Raw genomic sequence first — 23,704 nt, 5'->3', positions numbered from 1 at the left:
GGAGGCCGAGGTGGATGGATCATGGGGTCAAGAGATAGAGACCATACTGGCCAACATGGTGAAACTCCGTCTCTACTAAAAATACAAAAATTAGCTGGGCGTGGTGTCATACGCCTGTAGTCCCAGCTACTCGGGAGGCTGAGGCAGGAGAATCGCTTGAACCCAAGAGGCAGAGGTTGCAGTGAACCGAGATCATGCCACTGCACTCCACCCTGGCGACAGAGACTCCGTCTCAACAACAACAACAAAAATTAATTAATTAAAAATAAAAATAAATAAATAAATAAAAAGCTTTCGCTGTAGTCAAATATTTTTAAGTCCCATCAATGCCTTTCTTACTTTATGATGGACTCTTATTTTCTGAGGTCTCACCAGGTCCCAGACACCCTCCAACACAGCTTCCTCCCAGCTCTCAGATACACGTATTAAAGCCCAGAAGAATCACTCTCTTGAGATGAAAGGTTAAAACTTCTACATGTTACCTACCAGCCATCTTTCTCCCTTTTTAACTTCCAATCCTCAATTTCCTCTTTTCTAAATCATCTCAAAAAGGAGTGACTTAGATATATCTAAGGAAAAAAATTCTACTGATTCTGAAAGACTATATAAAAGTAAATTGAATATAATCAACTGAAATTTCACACAAAGGAAAATGCTGCAGGGGTAGGGAGAGAACTCCAAATTTAGTAGCTAGTTTCATATTCAGGTAAAGGATTTTTCCATACTTCACAACACCTTTAGAATTAAAACAGCATAGCACCTGAATTAAGCATTATGGTGGCTGGCAGTCAATGCTAATTAGTATGACATGCTTAGACTTATCAGGTGGTCCATAGCCTACACCAATAATGAAATCTAACTCACTCGAAATGCTCTTGACCAAAGTAAAAGCATTCCTTTGGCAGGTGGCAGAAGGGATGATGAGTCAGGAAGAAATACTCAACACTGGCCAGATGCCTCAAGGAATCACCAGTAAGAACAGGAAAATTAAAAGAACCAACTGAAGAAACTAACAAAGAACAATGTGCCTATTTTATTCAATTGCTGTAAGCATGAAATTTATACTTACAGTGCCCATGAATCACAAAATCTGTAAAGCACCAATAAGGCCATTAATATAGTGAGGCTCATAAAAGTGTCTCAAAAACTGAACTACTTAAACTAGAAAAATGCTAAATTTAATTATGCCAAGTGGTAACAAATCATTCAACGTTTTACATCTAACAGTAAAAATAAGAGCAACACGAATTAGAAACCACCTCTATGCTCTATATAATAAGTTTTGTTTCTCATGAATGGCATGGATATTGATATAAATTCATTCAACAAACACTGAGGCTTATTATAAGCCAAATATGGTGGTAGGTACTTTGAATACAAGAATAAAGGGCCATCTCTGTACTCAAGATCAGTCTAATGAGACAAATACATAAATAATTGCAATAGAGTCTAACAAGTGCTACAAGAAGAAATAAAGACAATCTGGGTCACAGCAGTGTGTTAAGGAAGAGTCTGATGAGGGGGCAGAGTGGCAGCATAGGGAGGAGTGAAGTTAAAAATGTTCAAGAAGGATTTCACACCTCACATTTCTTTGTTTTTTTGTTTTTTTGTTTTTTTTTTTTTTTTGAGGCGGAGTCTCGCTCTGTCGCCCAGGCTGGAGTGCAGTGGCGCGATCTCGGCTCACTGCAAGCTCCGCCTCCCAGGTTCACGCCATTCTCCTGCCTCAGCCTTCCAAGCAGCTGGGACTACAGGCGCCCGCCACCACGCCCGGCTAATTTTTTTTGTATTGTTAGTAGAGACGGGGTTTTACCGTGTTAGCCAGGATGGTCTCAATCTCCTGACCTCTGATCCGCCCGCCTCGGCCTCCCAAAGTGCTGGGATTACAGGCGTGAGCCACCGTGCCAGGCCCACATTTCTTAATATAGTACTTTATTTACCTTACAAAGTAAGACAATGCATGTGAAAGAAGATGACCTGTCCCCCACACTTTTGGAACAGTCAAATGCGTTATTTCATAGACGAGAATTTAAAAGCTAAGAATAGGCCAGGCACAGTGGCTTACGCCTGGAATCCCAACACTTTAGGAGGCTGAAGTGGGAGGATCCCTTGAGGCCAGGAGTTGGAGGAGAGCCTGGGCAAAATGGCAAGACTCCGTCTCTACAAAAAATTTAAAAATTAGCTGGGTGCTGGGCACGGTGGCTCACGCCTGTAATCCCAGCGCTTTGGGAGGCAGAGGCAGGCGGATCACGAGGTCAGGAGACGGAGACCATCCTGGCCACCACGGTGAAACCCCCGTCTCTACTAAAAGTACAAAAAAATTAGCCGGGCGTGGTGGCAGGCGCCTGTGGTCCCAGCTACTTAGGAGGCTGAGGTGAGAGAATGGCGTGAACCCGGGAGGAGGAGCTTGCAGTGAGCCGAGATCGCGCCACTGCACTCCAGCCTGGGCGACAGAGGGAGACTCCGTCTCAAAAAAAAAAAAATTTGCTGGGCATGGTGGTGCACACCTGTAGTCCCAGCTACTCAGGAGGCTGAGGCAGGAGGATCTCTTGAGCCTGGGAATTCAAAGTAGCAGTGAGCTATGATCATGCCACTGCACTCCAGCCTGGGCCACAAAGTAAAACCTCGTCTCTAAATTAAAATAATTAATTAATTAATTAATTAAAAAGCTGAGACTAGATAAATAAGTTCACCAACAATCAAAGTGATCTTTGGAGCAAGACCCCAAATCTTCCAACTCCTAATTCCATATTCCTTCTATGAAGACATCACCCCATTCTGTCTGACTGGCTACCAAAAGAGGCTATCCATTATATATCCTATTTTGGCTCATTTCCTAACTCACGCTCTCCATCAGAAAAAGATGTGCAAGAGAGAAACACGTTTAAATAGATTGAAATGGACTAAATGTGTGCTTAAATCAAATTTCATTAAGTTGCCAGTTAATTTCAGGGACTCAAAACATTTACATGTAATAGTGAATTTTCCTTATTAATGCTTAATACCATAATAGCTAGTATTTATCAACCATTTATTAATCATAACAACTACTCCATAAACCATTTTAGAGAGAAGTAATCACAGGCACAGAGACGTTTGTGAAATACAGGCTGGTGCAAAAGTAATCGTGGTCTTTGCCATTACTTTCAATGGCAAAGACCACGATTACTTTTGCACCAACATATTCTTAATTATGCCACGTATACCAATTTGAAAGTTACCAAGTTTTTCGGATATTTGAGTCAGTCAATGTCTTTCAGATCCAGATGAGACCCAAAAATGGGGAGGCAACAATTTCAAGACAAAGCGAAAAGAACATTACACTTTCAGATCAAGAGCTAAAAATAAGGAAAAATACCCCTCCTAGTATATTCTCTGTAGAAAGAACACAAATAAGTAATAAGGAGAAGCTTCTGTAGATGAGGAAAGATAATAAAGATGAATTATATTTAAGGTACATAAATTGTTTTCCTTCTATGGAATTTTTATTTTAACAAATTTTTTTAAACAGTTGAGTTCTCCCATCTATTTTAGGCCTTGGTCTCTGCTACCTTAAGGTCATGAATTTATGAACCACATACAGTATTTTCCTACCATGGGAATCTTTAGATGCATAACCCTCAAGGTTTAGGGAACAGAAAAATGGATGCAATAAAGTAAAAACTGCCAGTGATGTCTAGTTTTCATTCTTGTAATATTTTCTCACTGATATTAAACAAAAATCAAGAAAAAAAATCAAAAGATGTTAATAAGCCCTTGCTTAATAAAACCAATGACCCAACTCTCTTTCCTAATTAAAAGCTTACAGTACTTAGAGTGCTTACTATTTTCAATGAATGTTCAGACATAAAGTCCTATTAAAATTATGTATATTTTATAATTTCCTCCATTACTGATACATGCTTAAAGAAATTGATTCTGAGATACATTTTTCTTGTTCTTTTTCAGTTCTTGACACAGACTAGTGAGTGGCACTATGGACTAACAAGCATATTCAACCAACACAGAGGATCGAAATTAAAAAGCTATAACATATTAACATATCTAGGCCACACAGAAGGGTCATGAGGCAAGATCATCAGCATAAATTAGCACATTATTACAAGGCATCTAAAGGAACCAGGCAAAATCTGCATGACAGATCTTTCTTTCATAACGAATATATAATGCTATTTGATTGCATTTCTTTTAATCACAAGTATTATTTGGAGGGAAAATACTCGTAGTCTAATATCACATTTTACTACCTACCCAAAATTGGAATTATGGACAGCCAGGGTATGTATGGGGTTGGAGAGGGAAGCCTGTTAAAACCATTTTTGGGACACTTAACTATCTTTGTCCATTTGTCCAGAAACAAAGGGGTTTAAAAAAAAAATCACTGAGTGCATTTTTGCTTTTTCTAATTTTCCCACAAAAATCTGAAAGCATTAAATCATTTAGGAAAAAAGCCTTTGTTATTTACCAAACCCACAGAATTACACATCTACTAAAAGAGGTGAAATAGCAGTTCAGTTTGTTAATGAAGCCCTGTTTTTTCATCTCTACAGTAAGAATATCCTAAGACTACGGCCTCTAGGGTATTAAAGAGTCACAGTATCTTCTTTTTATTTTTTATGCTACTCATAGCTCACAGAACCACTGTCAAATACTGGAAGAAAATATCTATATGATAGTCTTTAGCTACTGGAACTGTTGCTGAATAATCAAATCCTCCTGTAATTATGCATTTTTAAACAATTCAGACAAATCGCATATGTAGCATATTACTAACATCAACAAACCCTGCTAGAAGAGTGAACATTTAAATATAAGCACATATACTCCCATGAACATAAAAACAAACCTCTAACTGCCAACTGTGCCTTCACTTCCCCCAAGCTATATACATTTAGTAACTGAGACAGTCATTTCAGAGTTAGGAGGATGGGTTTTTAACGGAAAAAAATGTAAACTTTCTTTCCAAGGCATGGTACCCTAAAAAGTGATTTTCAGAGAGAAATAAAAACTGAAACATACAAATTATATTGCCTCAAAATAGTCCCTACTTTTAAGTAAAGGAAACAGTAGAAGCACATCTGAAATTATTATATCTTGGACTTCTAAACTTACCCCCACAACAAAAGTAAAACATTTTATAATAGTAATGGAACTGTCTTGTGCTTTTTCACCCCTGTAAAAATCACTGACAAATGCTGTTCATTTAAAAATATATATATATATAGATAGCTTTGATGGGATAAAAAAATATCCTACTTGTATTCTCTTTCTAGGTCATAAACTACATTGGATGTAATAGGCTGTATAAATGAACAATCAGGAGGTTTCCGTCTAACTGTATGGGAAGTGTATTCACCACATCCTGCTATATAAATAACCCTCACTTCAAGTCAAATTCATATTATCTAATTTTTGCATTTCTCACCCAGAGAAGCTCTTCGCAGGACCTGGACCTAGATTCTCCTCTCATCACACAACTGTGAGTAGGAAATTCAAGCAATGAAAGGTTTTGCTACATTTTCAAAGGTACTTTTAAGATAAAATAACTTTCTAAAATGAATAAACCTGGGCAGTGTGACCTAAAAGCCACATAAATAATTTATTTGTGGCTGTCATGTTTTAATCACTGGACTGTTTTCAGAGGCTTAAAAAATTTAATGGTTTTTGTTATACAAAAGCAACTAGGTTTTCCATGAAACATTAGCTGTCACATTAATACAAGGTTTTATCATTAATTACAATGGATCACACAGGAGTTTATATCTACAAAATGATTGTTAAATATCTGAATTTCCAAACCATTTCAAAATAAAAATGAAACCTGGTCCTAGTAAACTTTACATGAATTAAAGATCCATTTACAAAACAGAAAATTAAATGTAAAAAAATAACCTCAATTTAAAACATTTGTAGATAAAACATTCAACACACTTTTTCATCAAAAAATGCAAATTAAAATATTAAACATAGGTAAACAGTGCCATCTTTTGGTATATTTAGGAACTGAGCTAAATTGTACAAAAACATCTTTAACAGATGAAAGGTGAGTAGAGCAAAGAATTCAAAAACCATCAGTTTATCATTTTATAACATTTAAGCTTTATAAATATATTAGCTTTTTTGGAGATGGGGTCTTGCTATGTTGCACAGGACAGACTCAAATTCCTGGCCTCAGGTAATTCACCTGTCTCAGCCTCCTGAGTAGCTAGCATTACAGGCACAAGTACCAAGCAGGCTATTTTTAAACTTATAAATATTTCCAAAAACATATTACCTCACATTTGTTTTCACTTCAATTTCATGAGATTAATAGAGCATCATTACATTTTAAAGACACTGAGGCTCAGAACATTTTAGTAATTGATCCCAAAATCCCTCAGTTAAAAATGATTGAGCCATCGCTGGCTTAAAATTGCTCGTTTTTACATTCCAACATTAATTCATTAAGCTTAGATAATGAGCCAAGTTATATAATTATTCTGTATTATAAGCAATGAACAAATTTTTATATTAGTTAAGATTCTGTAAAAATCGTTTGATTGCTTTTAGTATTTTTTGTATAATTTGGAAAGGAAAAGATACTTATGTTTATTAAATGAAGAATACACATTGACTACATTCACACAGCTGCTTACACTTCACAAATGCAAAAACTTTTAATCCAATATAGTATTCTTCATATCTCTATGTTAATGAGAAAAAAAAAAAGCCCTCGTTGGCTAGGTGTGGTGGCTCATGCCTGTAATCCCAGTGACTAGGGAATTTGAGATGGGAGGATCAGTTGAGGTCAGGAGTTCAAGACCAGACTGGGCAACACAGTGAGACACCATCTCTATAAAACTAAAAAAAAATTAACAAAAATATTTTTAAAAGCCCTTGTTTATGGCTTGCACATGATTTTACACCACAATATAAAAAGCCGTTACAAATGGAAATGATAAGCTTCAAATACTCTCCCTAAAGCTTCTCTGGCTTAATTTTGATCTTAGATGTGTCCATATACCATTTTCAATGTCTTCCACTTTTGTATTGTTCAGTGATTTTCTGAATAGTTTTATTAAGCCATAACATTTATTCCAGAACACTCTCACAATTCCTTCATTTTTGTAAGCTAGCTAATAATGAACTTCCTCATGGAGAGAAAAAAAATATTCTCAATGATCTATCTTTATCTTTGATTCACTTGTTACTAAGAATTTTACTCAAACTGCAATCATTAGTTCTTTACACAGCAGACTTGAAGATCATGGTTAAAACACAATCATTCCATCTTATATCATATAGCAATTCAATTAAAAAGAACATCAGAAAAAAGACAAGTCAATAAGATCACCAAAAAGGCTACTGAAAACACTGCTGAAGGAGTGAAAGCAGAGAAAGAGTCAATGGGATGAGCCATAAGCACTACATCTTCTGTCAAATGGAACTAGGTGATCAAAAACAATTAGACACTAACTCAGAAATGTAGTTACTTCACCCATTAGGCCTTACCTCTTGTCTACCGTATATTCAAGAAAAAGCACCGTATAGGACATGAGAATTGATAAACTTAGCTGTCTCTAAGTATGATTTGCCGGGAAAGATTGAAATAACATGCTAACAATGAATTTTTTTTTTTTTTTAAGATGGAGTCTCACTCTATTGCCCAGGCTGGAGTGTAGTGGCATGATCTTGGCTCACTGCAGCCTCCACCTTCCAGGTCAAAGCAATTCTTCTGCCTCAGCCTCCCGAGTAGCTGGGATTACAGGCGCCCACCACCATAGCCGATTAATTTTTTTTGTATTTTCAGTAGGGACGAGGTTTCACCATGTTGGTCAGGCTCTTCTGGAACTCCTAACCTCAAGTGATCCGCCCACCTCAGCCTGGGATTACAGGCGTGAGCCACCAGGCCTGACCAACAGTGAATTTTTTGATGGATTTAATTTCATCCCCAGGCTCTCCTTTTTTCATCTTTAGTAGGGCTGGATGCTGTCTACCCTCAAGAGTAAATAGCATTCCAGATCTTCTCCAGAGACTCTAAATTTCCTTTCCTTATTTCTGAGTGGATGGAAATCCCATTTTGAAGGCCCTTATTATTTCTCTCTTCATTATTCCATGGGTAGAAAAGAAAAAAAACAAAGAGAATGCCACTCTCATTCCCACCCTTACAATATGCCTCTTTACCAACCGTTGCAAATAACTCAAGTGAATACAAGTAATACTCCAAGATAATCTCTCTGCGAGGGCACAGGAACACACACAAATAAATGGAAATATATATAACCATACTGTATTAAGTTTGAAGGAACATCAAAATTTCTAATACTGAATCCAATCCCATTAAATTGAAAGCAATTACTGCTTCCAATTGAATAAGAATGGATTAAATTAGATTTCTGATTCAATATAATTTGTAGTGTCCATGACAGGAAAAGTGATAGTATAAGGATCTTATCCAAGACATGTCAAGACTATGCAGACTGGACTTGACAGCCACCCAAATAGAATTTTACTGAAAAACTCAAGGGATTCCCATACACACTGCATTTATCTAACCTTTGGAATATACTTTAATTTTTCTTCTAACTTAAAGATAAAAAGAATAAAATTACTTCTATACATTATATTCAAGAAATATACTTGTTTTTACTTGTTCACTAATGCACACAAAAAAACACCTGAATTACTACTTTGTGCCAGGTATCATATCTAATAATTATTATAATACTAAAATACAAAGTTGACCACTTTACATATACTGATTCATTTAATCTTCAGAAAGGACTACCACTGCCATCTTCATTTAATAAGGATGCTAAGACACAGAGATATTATCAAAGTTATATAGCTAATAAATGGTGGTAGTTGGTTTTACAGTCTGGCTTAATATTAAGAGCTGGCTACAGTCTGTTCTTTTTTTTTTTTTTTTTTTTTTTTTCTTTTTTGAGATGGTCTTGCTCTGTCGCCCAGGCTGGAGTGCAGTGTTGTGATCTCAGCTCACTGCAATCTCCACTTCCTGGGTTCAAGCGATTCTCATGCCTCAGCCTCCTCAGTAGCTGGAATTACAGGCACGCACCACCAAGCCCAGCTAATTTTTTTATTTTTAGTAGAGATGGGGTTTCGCCATGTTGGCCAGGCTGGTCTCGAACTCCTGACCTCAGGTGATCCGCCCCTCTCGGGCTCCCAAAGTGCTGGGATTACAAGCATGAGCCACTGCGCCCGGCTGACAGTCTGTTCTTAATAACTAAGCAACAGTGTCTCTGACATGTCAAAGGTAAAGATGAGAAAGACAGAAAGAACTCACACATCATAAAAAAGAAAATGTAAACCAGTTAAATTATCTTAACACAGGAACTAGCCGAGACGTCACTCTAAGCCAGCAGAAATAAGCTAATGGCAGCAGTGCTAAGCAGAGCTACATTTTATGCAAGGAGTTTGAATCTAAAATGATTAGATTAGGTAAAAATCATGTATAGCCACAACTCTTCCCAAAAAAGTCCTTAATCAATCATAAAAATAATGTATACATGGATTAGCATACGTAACACTTTAAAAGTCCTTAGAAACTCAAATTTGAGAATGACCAAGCTACAATGAAAGAAGAGGTAAAAGCAAAGTCTCTGCAAATCCTGAGATATTCAAATCACTTCCCCCTTAACCATCAAACATATGCTGGTAAAGTAGGAATTGGTGGGAAATTTTTAAATGCAGTAGTTTACTACATTCTGTTTTATTATTAAGCCTCTTTAACCATATTATATGTTAATAGACTTGAAGATTAATAAGCTATACAAGTTGCATACTATGCAAAGGTTAGTTTTTAGTGAGTATGAAAGCAATGTAGTATTAAAGGTAACAAATGTTTGTCCTCAAATTCAAAAACTCCCACCTTCATATGCTCCTATGGACAAAGAGGACAACAACCAGATTCTAGGACAAGCACAGTCAGGGCAACAGAGCAATGAAGGTGTCAAGCAGTAAGCCAGTGACTAAATAATTTTCACATCTGTTCAGCACACATATTGCAGACGGGTATCTGCACAAGATCATACTGCCTCTGAAAGGGTCATACTGCCTCTGAAAGGGTCAATTTGTCCAATTTTTATATAAATACTGCTAAAAAGTTTTTTAAAAAATCAATCAGAAGAAATAAAGTGTAAACTAATTTAATGACGCCTAATAATTGCATTAGAAGAACATTTGTAACATGAAATTCACTTTCATTTATAATAGTGTAACTGCAGTGATCATGTAATGCAATATTGCCATCTCTTGCCCAATAGCTAAAAATACATCATGTCTTTAATCCAAACACATGACAATTTTAAATTGAAGGCCAAAAAGAGCCAACACTACATGTTCAATTGTTAACATCTCAGAAGTTTTTTCTCCCCAAAATTAAAGAAGACAATACTAACAACAGATTTTTAAATGAAGCTTTCATGGTAATTTATCATCTGCCCATTTTCTTAAAAAAGAAAATTAATATTTAAACACACGCTATTTCTAAATAAATTATCCCAAAAATATTTCACAAATCTCTAAGCCTGATGTGAATTATTAAGCAATTAAGCAAATGTCAAGTTTCTGAAAATCTGGGTATATGTTTATCTGACTCATGAAAATTCTAAAATATTATAAACATAAAATATTTTAAGTTCAATACCATAATGCCGGTAATTCTGAAAAGACTAGGCATCTTAACACACTTCAGCACTCCATAGCAGTTTATTCACAAAAATTAATACAATTACACTTGAATTTTGAAGTATTATTTCTCACATGCTACAAGAAGTGCAAACCAGACATTTAGTGACCTGAAAAGGTCAGGCCAAAGGTTGAACAGGATGAAAAATGATCTTTAAGTTCACAAGAAAGACAACAAAAAAAGATTAACTTCTCCCACATCTTTACTAGTGGCAAAATTGAGAACAAGAACTTATAAACATTATCAAAATACTTTAATTGCCATGAGAGTTACTAACTTTTAGTGGGCATTCATTTTGGACATAATACCAGGGTAAGAAAAACTAGGACTTGGAACCAAAACATTTTAGAATTCACAACAGTGAACGAGGTTTTTCCTTAATCCCTTTAGAAGGTGAAGATTCTAATCAACCATACATGTTAACTCTCAAACATAAGAAAAATATTGCTTAAAAAAATTTTAAGGTTGACACTATTTGATTTGTGTAAATAACATGAATTTAGTACAAAATCAAAATTAATACCACACAGTAGTCTCTTGGTTCAAAAATATTTAGTTTTGTGCTTCATAAAATAACAAAAAAAAAGGAAATTACTGGGCCAAGATGGAAAAACATCAGAAACTAAGTACTTCTGTGCTCCATTTTAAAAAGAAAAAAAATAGAATGTAGAGATCAGAAAAATCATCATGCAACTATTGCATAACACAGTAATGAAGAGTATTAAACATCCTTTTAAAACATATTAAGGGCCAGCCACGGTGGCTCACGCCTGTAATCCCAGCACTTTGGGAGGCCGAGGCAGGTGGATTGGTTGAGCTCAGGAGTTCAAGACCAGCCTGGGCAAACAACATGCCCTAATTCTCTTATGTCGACTTTTCTTCCACTCTTCAATGCAATTTCCACTCTTAAAAATGTATTGTAACGCCTTTAAATTGCTGCTTATCTTCTACAACTTCGAACAACACATCCTTGACCTTGTCACCACTGCCAATCTATTTTCCTCAACAACATGGAAATGTGGTGTGATGAACAAATCTTCTTAACTCAATTCCTTCTTAGATTACAAAGTGATTTTTCCTGGCCCAGGCTAGCCATTCCAGAATTCCAAGTATAGGATTCCCAAATTTCATTCACCTATAACACAAGGTCTGGTCAAAAAGAGTCTGTCTAGTTCATGCACTTACTGTTTCAACCCCAGTTGTTTATCATACAGACCGCACTGCCATGTGCCCAGAAATCTCATTTTACATTTAGATATCTCCAAATTAATTTATCACCCCAAATCCTAACACTGTGAGCTGTTTTATTTTTGTTGTCTGGGCAGATAAAAGGTAGGGAAGCTATCAAACCTGTTTAAGATTTCCATCTCCCCCTCCTAGAAAGCTGAGTCCCTTGGAGAGAGCTGATAGAAAGAATACAGCTCGGTGATCCAATAACCACTGTCATCCCTGCCACAACTGGTACTTCGCTTTTATTTTGTTGGGAGTTACCCCTTAAAAAATGTCTATTTCTACTACCTCTATGCTATCAGATCCTCACACAAAGGCAGCTTTGAATAAAATTCTCTCAACTTTCTACATGAAATAATAGTGGCCAAAATGTGCAGAAAAATATTAGAACTTAATAATCTCAGTTCATGCAAATAACCTAACATAAGCACATTTCCACAGGAAGAAAAGTAAGAGTGAATTACTGGCAAGTTAAGGATGTTTGTTTGTTTGATGTGTTTGTTTGTTTGTTTGTTTAAGACGGAGTCTCACTCACTCTGTCACCCAAGCTGGAGTGCAGTGGTGTGATCACCGCTCACTGGAACCTCCGCCTCCCAGGTTCAAGCAATTCTCATGCCTCAACCTCCTGAGTAGCTGGAATTACAGGCATGCACCACCACGCTGGGCTAATTTTTGTATTTCTAGTAGAGATGGGGTTTCACCATGTTGGCCAGGCTGGTCTCAAACTCCTGACCTCAGGCGATCCTCCTGCCTCAGCCTCCCAAAGTGCTGGGATTAGAGGCATGAGCCACCGTGCCCAGCCATGTTAAGGATGTACTTTTAAATAATGATCTTGAGACTACAGTTTTGCAGTACATAAAACATATATATGTATTCACATATATATACATATGTATACATATATATAGTAAAAGCTTGGAAAATTATCTGAAAATATCCACAAGAAGGACATTTTACAGATCAGCAGAAATAGTTTCTATTTTAATGTATGAAAGGCTTTGTTTCTCTGTATATAATTCTATGTTTAACTTCCAAGCCTTAGAATAATGCTAAGATTCAACTATATCTATAAGCTGATGGTCACACCTTGCATTACAGATACTACACATGATCAGACTACAATTTACTTGCACTATAATTCCAGGTAGACTTCAGAACCTTAAGATATTAACAACAGACATCATCTTTGGCTACAGAATAAAGAATTTTGGCAAGAAAACCCTGGGTTACATTTTTTAAAAGTTCTATTCAATATATAACTAAACACTTCACTGTAAATACTTATTACTTACACATATAATTTTAAGTCAGAAACCTTAATGTCAGGATTTTTATTTATTTATGTATTTATTTATTTTTCATTTATTTATTTATTTATTTATTTATTTATTTATTTTTTTTTTTTGAGATGGAGACTCGTTCTTTCTGTTGCCCAGGCTGGAGTACAGTGGCATGATCTCAGCTCACTGCAAGCTCCGCCTCCCAGGTTCACGCCATTCTCCTGCCTCAGCCTCCCGAGTAGGTGGGACTACAGGCGCCCACCACCATGCCCGGCTAATTTTTTTGTACTTTTAGTAGAGACAGGATTTCACCGTGTTAGCCAGGATGGCCTCGATCTCCTGACCTCATGATCTGCCCGCCTCAGCCTCCCAAAGTGCTGGGATTACAGGTGTGAGTCACCACACCTGGCCTATGTCAGGATGTTTTTAAATAATTTCTGTAAGGCCTAAGTTAACATTTTGTTTTTCCTTTATCTTCAGGTACAAGCTATACAAAATTAGCAGAGCTAAATGTATGTTACAAACTGTAAGACACTATATAAATGTAAATAATCATGGTGATAGTAAAGGAGCAAGAAAGCTAGATTAAAGAGTTATGTGTAGAAAGTATAAGTTAACAGCCCTATACTAAGATAGTTGATGATTCTTTCATTGAATCCACTAGAATTTCCAAAAATATCCTATTGAGGTTCCACTGGATCAATTACTTTATACTTATGATTAAGGAGGTAGGAATGGACCAGGTAGCACTCTGCTGACACTGCTATCTATAACTGAAGAAACAGCTTACTTTTTTTTTTTGAGGCGGAGTTTCAGTCTTGTTACCCAAGCTGGAGTGCAGTGCCACAATCTCAGCTCACTGCAGCCTCTGCCCTCCAGGTTCAAGCTATTCTCCTGCCTCGGCCTTCCTAGTAGCTGGGATTACAGGCATGCACTATCATACCAGGCTAATTTTTGTATTTTTAGTAAAGACGGGGCTTCACCATGTTGGCCAGGCTGGTCTCGAACTCCTGACCTCAGGAGATCCACCTGCCTAGGCCGCCCAAAGTGCAGGGATTACAGGCGACAGCGATCGCACCCGGCCAAGAAACAGCTTACTTTCAAATCCCAACTCAGCACTGAAATTAACAGACTGACCATGTTCCTGTGGTATAGACTGCAGTGGGATATATACCCCCTTCTTTCCACCAAAAAAAAACGAGAAAGGCTTCTAATAAGGGTTACATATTTTAAAACTCTGGCTGGGGCCGGGCGCAGTGGCTCATGCCTGTAATCCCAGCACTTTGGGAGGCCGAGGCGGGCGGATCACGAGGTCAAGAGATCGAGACCATCCTGGCTAACACAGTGAAACCCCGTCTCTACTAAAAATACAAAAAATTAGCCGGGCGTGGTGGCGGGTGCCTGTAGTCCCAGCTACTCGGGAGGCTGAGGCAGGAGAATGGTGTGAACCTGGAAGGCGGAGCTTGCAGCGAGCTAAGATAGCGCCACTGCACTCTGGCCTGGGCAAAAGAGCAGGACTCCGTCTCAAAAAAAAAAAAAAACAACTCTGGCTGGGCACAGTGGCTCACACCTGTAATCCCAGCACTTTGGGAGGCCAAGATGGGTAGATCACTAGGTAAGGAGTTTGAGACCAGCCTGACCAACAAGGTGAAACCCCGTCTCCACTAAAAATTCAAAAATTAGCTGAGCGTGGTGGTGCATGCCTGTAATCCCAGCTACTCAGGAGGCTGAGGCAGGAGAATTGCTTGAACTCAGGAGGCGGAGGATACAGTAAGCCCAGATCGTGCCACTGCACTCCAGCCTGGGCAACAGAGCAAGACTCCATCTCGGAAAATAATAAAAATAAATAAAAATAAAAAAATAAAGCAGGTCCTACCTCCCATATTACAAAAAGTGAAAGAATACATTATGAGCTTAAGTATTTCCTAAAACAACTTCTAGGATTTAACACAGAATATGAAGGCCTTTCCTTTGCCAAAAAAGAATAAACTTCTTGTCTGCTGGAATCCATGGCTGGTTCAATTTCATATCTTTACACCTCTTTAGCACTCTACTCTGTAACATATATCATGTTCAGAGAATGTTTGCCAAATGAATAAACTATAAACACATATACAAAGAAACTATCAAGAATGTTAACAGCTCAGCAATTTTTAAATAACTGCTCTGAAAATGTGGGCACCCAGGCTAAACACTCTATTCTGACTTAGGTAAGCATGTCCACAAATATTTCGTACACATAACACCATTACTCTTCAGTGTTTATGAACCACAGCCTCAGTCAATGGTCTTTGGATGGACTTTTTTTTCCAACTAACCAAAAAACACATACAATATTCATTCACACCAGGCATGGCTGCAAACTAAACATAACACAGCTGTATCTAACACAGCTGTATCTAAATGAGGGCTGTTCCCAAAGCAGTCACCTTGGAAGCCTAAACCTTTATTCCACTATCAGGCTAGGGAGTGGTTACGAATTCCTTAACAAAATTGTGTAAGGATTGTGAGGTTCTGAAGAGACCAAAAACGTGTAAGAATCACAGCTACTCTTTCAGAACTCTTTAAGAACTGATTTCAGAATCACTTAAGACAAAATTTATTCTCAACTAGAACAGCATTGTGCAACATCATAGCACATATTTTATTCACCAGATTTGGCCTCAAATGACCTGTGGCCATTTTCTAATACTAAATGTATTCTCAAGATATGAAGATTTGCCACCAATGAGCACACTGAAAACAATTTACCAACATCTCCCAAAGAAATAATCCAAAAACAATAAACAAAGGATGACTGGAAAAAAAGTTTAATCTATAAAAATTGCCTACTTGGAGAACACATTCATTTCTTTAAAAAGCCATGGTGCTCACAGGGAAAGTTTAATTGCTTCCCAAGATACTAATCTAATTATATCACATATCCATGTACCCACGATACAAGTAATTGTTCTGAGTTTTAGGGGCTAACATCATTTCTCCTCAGTAAGTTTTATTCTTTGAATGAGAGACAAGCAGGCACGATTTTGTAATAGTTTATTTAAAAGTTGGCCAAACACAGTGGCTCATGCCTGTAATCCCAGCACTTTGGGAGGCCAAGGCGGGCAGACCACTTGAGGCCAGGAGTTAGACCAGTCTGGCCAACATGGCAAAACCCCATCGTTACTAAAAATACAAAAATTAGTCAGGCATGGTACCGCACACCTGTAATCCCAGCTACTCAGGAGGCTGAGGCAGGAGAATCATTTAAAAGCTGGCCGAGCACGGTGGCTCATGCCTGTAATCCCAGCGCTTTGGGAGGCCAAGGTGGGCAGACCGCTTGAGGCCAGGAGTTAGAGACCAGTCTGGCCAACATGGCAAAACCCCCATCGCTACTAAAAATACAAGAATCAGTCAGGCATGGTATCGCACACCGGTAATCCCAGCTACTCCGGAGGCCGAGGCAGGAGAATCATTTGAACCCAGAAGGCAGAGGTTGCAGTAAGCCGAGATGGTGCTACTGCACTCCAGCCTGGGCAGCGGAGTGAGACTACGTAACAAAAAAGTTATGAGCCACCTTTTTCTTCAAAATAAAAAAGGGTTTGAAAAGAGGCAATGAACAACAGCAAACTGCTCTGACAGTTCGCTTTATGAAGCTGTTGTTTTTGTTTGTTTTTTTGAGACAGTGTCTCACTCTGTCACCCAGGCTGGAATGCAGTGGGGCAATCTCAGCTCACAGCAACCTCCGCCTCCTGGGTTCAAGCAATCCTCCTGCCTCAGCCTCCCGAGTAGCTGGGATTACAGGTGTGTGCCACCACACCTGGCTAATTTTTGTATTTTTAGTAGAGACGGGGTTTTGCCACATTGGCCAGGCTGGTCTCAAACTCCTGATCTCAGGTGATCTGCCCACCTCGGCCTCCTAAGTGCTGGGATTACGGGCGTGAGCCACCACACCTGGCCTTATGAAGTATTAACACAGAATAATTATATCCTGAATTTGCATATTTAAAAGCAGCAATTTCAAATACATACCCACATAATCTTTCTTCCCCAAATGATAAAAATATCTATGACTACTGAGAACTAATTTTGATATAATTTATCTGCATACTGTTTTCAATAAACTCCCTATACATTATACATAAGGTATATTTTATACCTATTTTATGTTATACATTTAATATTTTAGGTTTCCATTTGATTAACGAAAACATTATCAACTAGTAAGCCATAATAAACTTTATACATTCTCATTATTCCATAGTAATGAAAGTGACTACTGGCATAGGTAATCCAGAAGTCATTCATATCAAATCTTTAAATATAAAATCTGTAGAGATTTACTTCTTAAATGTCTTATCAAAGCTAATTCTGTTTATATTTCCTGGGCCTATAGCACCTAGACTAGTGAAGAAAGTATTCCCACAGTCTGCTGCATGCAAGCCAGGCTGGAATTAACAACTATGAATTTCTAAAGTAGGAACAATCAATAGTTTATAAAATTAATACAAATACATATAATATATAAAAGCAACAGACTATGCTACATTAGCAAAAAAAAAAAAAAAATTCCCATTCAAGTAATTACTTCCTTATTTTCTCTTTTTAACTATTCCCAAATAAGAAACAAAATTAGGTGTGTAAAACAAAACCTAATATTCTTGTATAAACATACCAGGACTGTTATTTTATACAGACAAGTACTGTTACAAGACCAAACACAAACTGCTAATGGATTAAAATTTAATTAAAATGTATTAGATATTTAATATGACATAGAAAAAGTCAATATCTGATTTTCCTTATGTTTTAGGAAATTATCTCAGGGCCTTTTTTTTTTTGAGATAGGATCTCACTCTGTTGCCCAGGCTGAAGTGCTGTGCACAGAACAGCTCACTGCAGCCTCTACCTCTCAGGCTCAAGCGATCCTGCCACCTCATCCTCTCAAGTAACTGGGACTACAGGCAAAGACCAACACACCTGGCTACTTTTTAAATATTTTTGCAGGGCCAGGGTCTCACTATGTTGCCAACACTGGTCTCAAACTACTGGGCTCAAGCGACCCTCCCACCCTCTCTCACCTCGGCCTCCAAAGTGCTGGGATTACAGCAGGCATGAGCCAACACACCCAGCCTTTTTTTTTTTTTTTTCCTTAGGGTATTTTCTTAGCCAGGCACACAACTGTAGTCCCAGCTACTTGGGAGGCTGAGGTAGAAGGACCACTTGAGCCCAGGAGCTTGGGGCCAGCCTGGGCAAACATAGTGAGACCTGTCTCAAAAATAAATAAATATAAATCAATAAATAAATTCTATTTTCTTAATACTCAAACTACACCATCAGAATATGGTAAGGCAAGCCCAGGCTAAATTATACTAAAAATTACTAATGAATATAGAGAAGTAATTCTGAAAGCATATTTTGACCATTTTTAACTTAAAGGACAGAAATATTAAGACTCATTTTGCCATCTAAAGAATATGTTATAAAAAATACAAAATTAATAACATAAGGTATTTTAGGCCAGGCGCGGTGGCTCACACCTGTAATCCTAGCACTTGGGGAGGCCGAGGCGGGTGGATCACGAGGTCAAGGGATCGAGACCATCCTGGCTAACACGGTGAAACCCCGTCTCTACTAAAAAAATACAAAAAAATTAGCCAGGCATGGTGGTGGGCACCTGTAGTCCCAGCTACTCGAGAGGCTGAGGCAGGAGAACGACATGAACCCAGGAGGCGGAGCTTGCAGTGAGCTGAGATTGCACCACTACACTCCAGCCTGGGTGACAGAGCGAGACTCCGTCTCAAAAAAAAAAAAAAAGATATTTTAGTTACTGAAGGAAAAAGGGTGATACAAGGACTAGGTTTCCAATCCTCCTTAATCATTACATGCTGTCTTATAGCTAGGACTTGCCAATTACACATGCAAAGGCAGCCATGAGGTACAGAACAATGGTCAGGAGCAGTGTTTGGAAGTGACAAAGGACTTCACTGCATATGTGATTTAAGATAAGACGCAACCTCTCAGGCCGAGCACAGTGGCTCACGCCTGTAATCCCAGCACTTTGGGAGGCCAAGGCGAGTGGATCACGAGGTCAGGAGATTGAGACCATCCTGGCTAACACGGTGAAACTCTGTCTCTACTAAAAATATGAAAAATTAGCCAGGCATGGTGGCGGGCACCTGAAGTCCCAGCTACTCGGGAGGCTGAGCCAGGAGAATCCCTTGAACCGTGAGGCGGAGCTTGCTGTGGGCCAAGATCGCGCCACTGCACTCCAGCCTGGGAGACAGAGCAAGACTCTGTCTCAAAAAAAAAAAAAAAAAAAAAAAAGACACAACCTCTCCTTTCTCAACTGTAAAGTAGGGGTGCCAATATTTCCTCCTACTCAAGGACTAAGCAAGATAACATACATAAAGCACCGGGTCAGTGCCTGTCACAAAGCATTCGAATTATAGTTCCATTTAGTACACATAATAGATACAGAAATAGCTACAGATGCGTGCATATGTGTGGGTTACTATTCATACATAATTCCTAGCTCCATCCCCCAAGAGGACCTCACAACAGCGACACCTCACGGTGGCAACGAGCAAGCATATTGACTGCCCAGATCCCCTTTTCTAAATGCCATTCTCTTAATGAAAAAAATCAGGACTCCTTGGAAAACTGGTTGCTTCCAAGACTGGGGAAGGGAAAATATGAGAGATTAGAACATTTTGTGGTGCCAGGAAATAAAGAAGTGCTCAAAAAAAAGATGCCGGCATGCTGAAAAGACACAGGAGCCAGCCTGAACAAGATCCTAATGGCCAAGATTGGAACAACAAGCAGCATAATACATAATGATAGTATCAGACTATATCCACAGGATAAAATAAATATCCATGAGTCTGTACTGATAGAAATAACTAAGACGGGCCAGGTGCAGTGGCTCATGCCTGTAATCCCAGCACTTTGGGAGGCCAAGGCAGGTAAATCACCTGAGATCAAGAGGTCTAGACCAGCCTGGCTACCATGGCGAAACCCCATCTCTAAAAAATACAAAAAATTAGCCTGGTGTGGTGGCGCATGCCTGTAATCCCAGCTACTTGGGAGGCTGAGGCAGGAGAATCCCTTGAACCCCGGAGGCAGAGGTTGCAGTGAGCCGAGATCACAACACTGTACTCCAGCCTGGGCAACAAAGCGAGACTCTGTCTAAAAAAAAAAAATTTAATTAATTAATTAAGATGGAGAAGAATGGACAGCTCTTCCTTAGAGAAAAACTCCAATTAATAAATGTAAAGAGGAGGCTGGGCGCAGTGGCTCACACCTGTAATCCCCGCACTTTGGGAGGCCGAGGCGAGTGGATCACTTGAGCTGAGGAGTTCGAGACTAGCCTGGCCAACATGGTGAAACCCCGTATCTACTAAAAATACAAAAGTTAGCCAGGCATGGTGGCATATGCCTGTAATCCTAGCTACTTGGGAGGCTGAGGCAGAAGAATCGCTTGAACCTGGGAGGCAGAGGATGCAGTGAGCTGAGATCGTGCCACTGCACTCCAGAATGGGGCACAAAGAGACCCCATCTCAAAGTAAATAAATAAATAAATAAATAAATAAATAAATAAATAAATATAAATGTAAAGAAAACAAGATAGCAGAAAATCACCATTAAGTAAACACCACAGTAATAACTGTTGCAGACAAGATCCACCAGTAGATACTAAAATTAACAGGCCAAAGGTTGAGGAGAAATAGGATGTTTATTAGTTGTAATGAGAAAAACAGTGACTGTATTGGAAAGAAACCTAGCAGACATGGGTTAGTGTACCAGTATAAGACACACTGACATCATGACCCCGATATGACGCACTGAGAAAAATATAGTATCGCTTCTGTTCTCTGCTTGCCAAAAACCCAGAACCTCATTCTAATCATGAGAAAAAGACCAATTCAAGTTGAAGGACATTCTACATAATAATCATTTTCATCAGAAATATCAAGGAAATGTTTTCTTCAGAAGTGTCAAGGTCACAGAAGACAAGAAAAAATTAAGAAACTGTCACAGATTGGAGGAAACTAAGGGGACATGAAACTAAATGTAAGGTGGGACCCAACATTAGATCTTGGGACAGAAAAAGGAAGTTAATGGGAAAACTGGTAAAATTCAAATACGATCTACAGTTTAGATAACAGAAATGCACTAATGTTAATTTCCTGGTTTATTAATGATATTACAACTACGTAAGATGTTAATATCAAGGGAAGCTTGGTGATGGGCATATGTGAACTCTCTAATTTTACTACTTTTCTGAAAGTCTAAACTTATTTCAAAATAAAAAGTTTTTTTAAATATGACATCCATGGTTATCTACAAAATGTGTAATAACTATCTGTTTCACCTTAAAATCACTGTCATGCTAAAATACCCTTTAACTGCTAGGCTATTTATCTCTAAAAGCTTAATTCTGAAAAATTTAATCAATAAAATATATTATAGATCTCATTACCTGTAATTTTATAGCCATAAGCAGCTAGCTGTCCAGCCATATATTCTCCATCTGAATTATTATGAGAACAACCCCATGTTCGTATCCAAATTTTCTGTATGCCTGGAATAGTGCTGTTAAGGAATCAATAAAAAAAAAAAAGTAAGTTTCATTGAGTGATTTTTTTTTTTTTTGATCCAGGGTCTTGCTCTGTTGCCCAGGCTGCAGTGCAGCTGTGTGACCACAGCTCACTGCAACCTCAACCTCCCAGGCCTAAGGGATCCTCCCATCTCAGCCTCCCAAGTAGCTGGGACTACAGTCATGCACCAACACACCTGTTAATTTTTCTTATTTTTTGTAGAGACAGTGGCCCACTATACTGTCCAGGCTGATCTTGAACTCCTGGGCTCAAGTGATCCTCCCACCTTGTCTCCCAAAGTGCTGGAATTACAGGCATGAGCCACCACTACACCCAACCTCATTGAGTTATTTTTAAAATAAAAACCACTAGATGATTTTAAGATATATTACACAAAAAACAAACTCACTACAATCCATTCAAAAGCTATTCATTAAACGCACCAACTTAACTCAAAATCTGTTGTTGTATCAAAAGTCTAAAATCAAGATAAAATAACCACAGAATTCTAAAAAGTTAACACTCCACATAAAAAAATATCCTTTTTCTCTGAATTGCATTTTAAATTCATACTACTAACTTACTAAGTTCAACTCCTGGAAAGGTACACAAAAATAACAATAGGAAAGAAAGTGGTTCTAGCAGCAATGGCAAATAAAGAAAAGTATGTCTGTTTACAGATTCCTACATACTAGTTGCAATCTGTAGCTTCCTTAAAACTTACAGATATAAGTAACTTAATCAAAGTTAAAAACCGTCATCCTAAAGCATTATTAAAAGCACTCTATAAAATCAGAGTTCTAAAAATAACTTTTAGGGGAAAAAAGGACTTTCAACTTGGATTGCTCTAATAATTTATAAGTAAATAAAAATTACCTTAAGGACACATTTAGGACAAATTTTATAAACTTCAGTCATTAAAATATAAGCAAATTTTAAATTCCAAGAATTTAAAAGCTTAGTTTCCCAACAAAATAAGCAGATTATAAAGTTCAGCAGTTGACTAGATAAACAAATATAGGCTTATTAAAACCATATAATTACATTATCCTTTCTGGTTAGGTTGTATCAAAATTTCACGGACTAGAGATCTACTATAATAGCGTAAATAGGGCAATAATTTATTTGTGCCCACTGCCTTTACCTGATCCACAGGTATTTGAAAATCAGCTAAGAAAATTCAAATGTCCAAAATACTACTGTCTCATAAGAATCACAAACTCTGGTAAAAATTTTATTTGGAAATAACACAGACTTACATATCAACTACAGTAATACCCAAGAGATCCCTATTGCCCGAGGCTATCTTCTAGGAACATCCAATTTGACATCTCATTTCTTTTTAACCAATTACCTTGCCAAATTTAAAATCATTCAAATAAAAAAAAAATCTACATACAGGTTGAGTTTCTTTAATTCAAAAATTCAAAATCCACAATGCTCTAAAATCTGAAACTTTTTGAGTGCCAAAATGATACTCAAAGGATGCTCACTGGAGCATTTCAGATGTTTGGATTAGGAATACTCAACTGGAAAGTATGTAATGCAAATATTCCGAAATCCAAAAAAAAAAATGTGATATCTGAAACACTTCTGGTCTCAAGCATTTCAGATAAGTGATACTCAACTTGTATTTCCTATCAAAAGTTCAAAGATTCTAATGAAGAGACATTATATATATCACACAGACCAGTAGCGTCAGCTTCTCCCTGGAATGAAAATGAATATAATTTCGGCCGTGCTCAGTGGCTCAGGCCAGTAATCCCAGTACTTTGGGAGGCCAAGGTGGGCAGATCACCTGAGGTTAGGAGTTCAAGACCAGCCTGGCCAACATGGTGAAACCCCATCTCTACTAAAAATACAAAAAATAGCCAGGTATGGTGGTGTGTGCCTGTAATCACAGCTACTAGGGAGGCAGAGGCAGGAGAATA

General features: G+C 38.0%; 1 protein-coding gene across 12 annotated transcripts in view; it reads right to left on the bottom strand.

Moving 5' to 3' along the window:
- Positions 1 to 23,704, bottom strand: part of CDKAL1 (CDKAL1 threonylcarbamoyladenosine tRNA methylthiotransferase) — a 697,948-nt gene that overhangs the window by 662,044 nt on the left and 12,200 nt on the right. For all 12 annotated transcript variants that reach the window (XM_047418949.1, XM_047418952.1, NM_017774.3 and 9 more), the window contains one exon: positions 21,656 to 21,768. In XM_047418949.1, coding sequence (XP_047274905.1) covers positions 21,656 to 21,768 — 113 coding nt within the window. The remainder of the gene's footprint in view (positions 1 to 21,655; positions 21,769 to 23,704) is intronic.

This window comes from Homo sapiens, chromosome 6, assembly GCF_000001405.40.
Source record: "Homo sapiens chromosome 6, GRCh38.p14 Primary Assembly".
Lineage (NCBI taxonomy): Eukaryota > Metazoa > Chordata > Mammalia > Primates > Hominidae > Homo > Homo sapiens.
The sequence above is the reverse complement of the archived record's forward strand: the minus strand, read 5'-3'. Positions and strand labels throughout refer to the sequence as shown.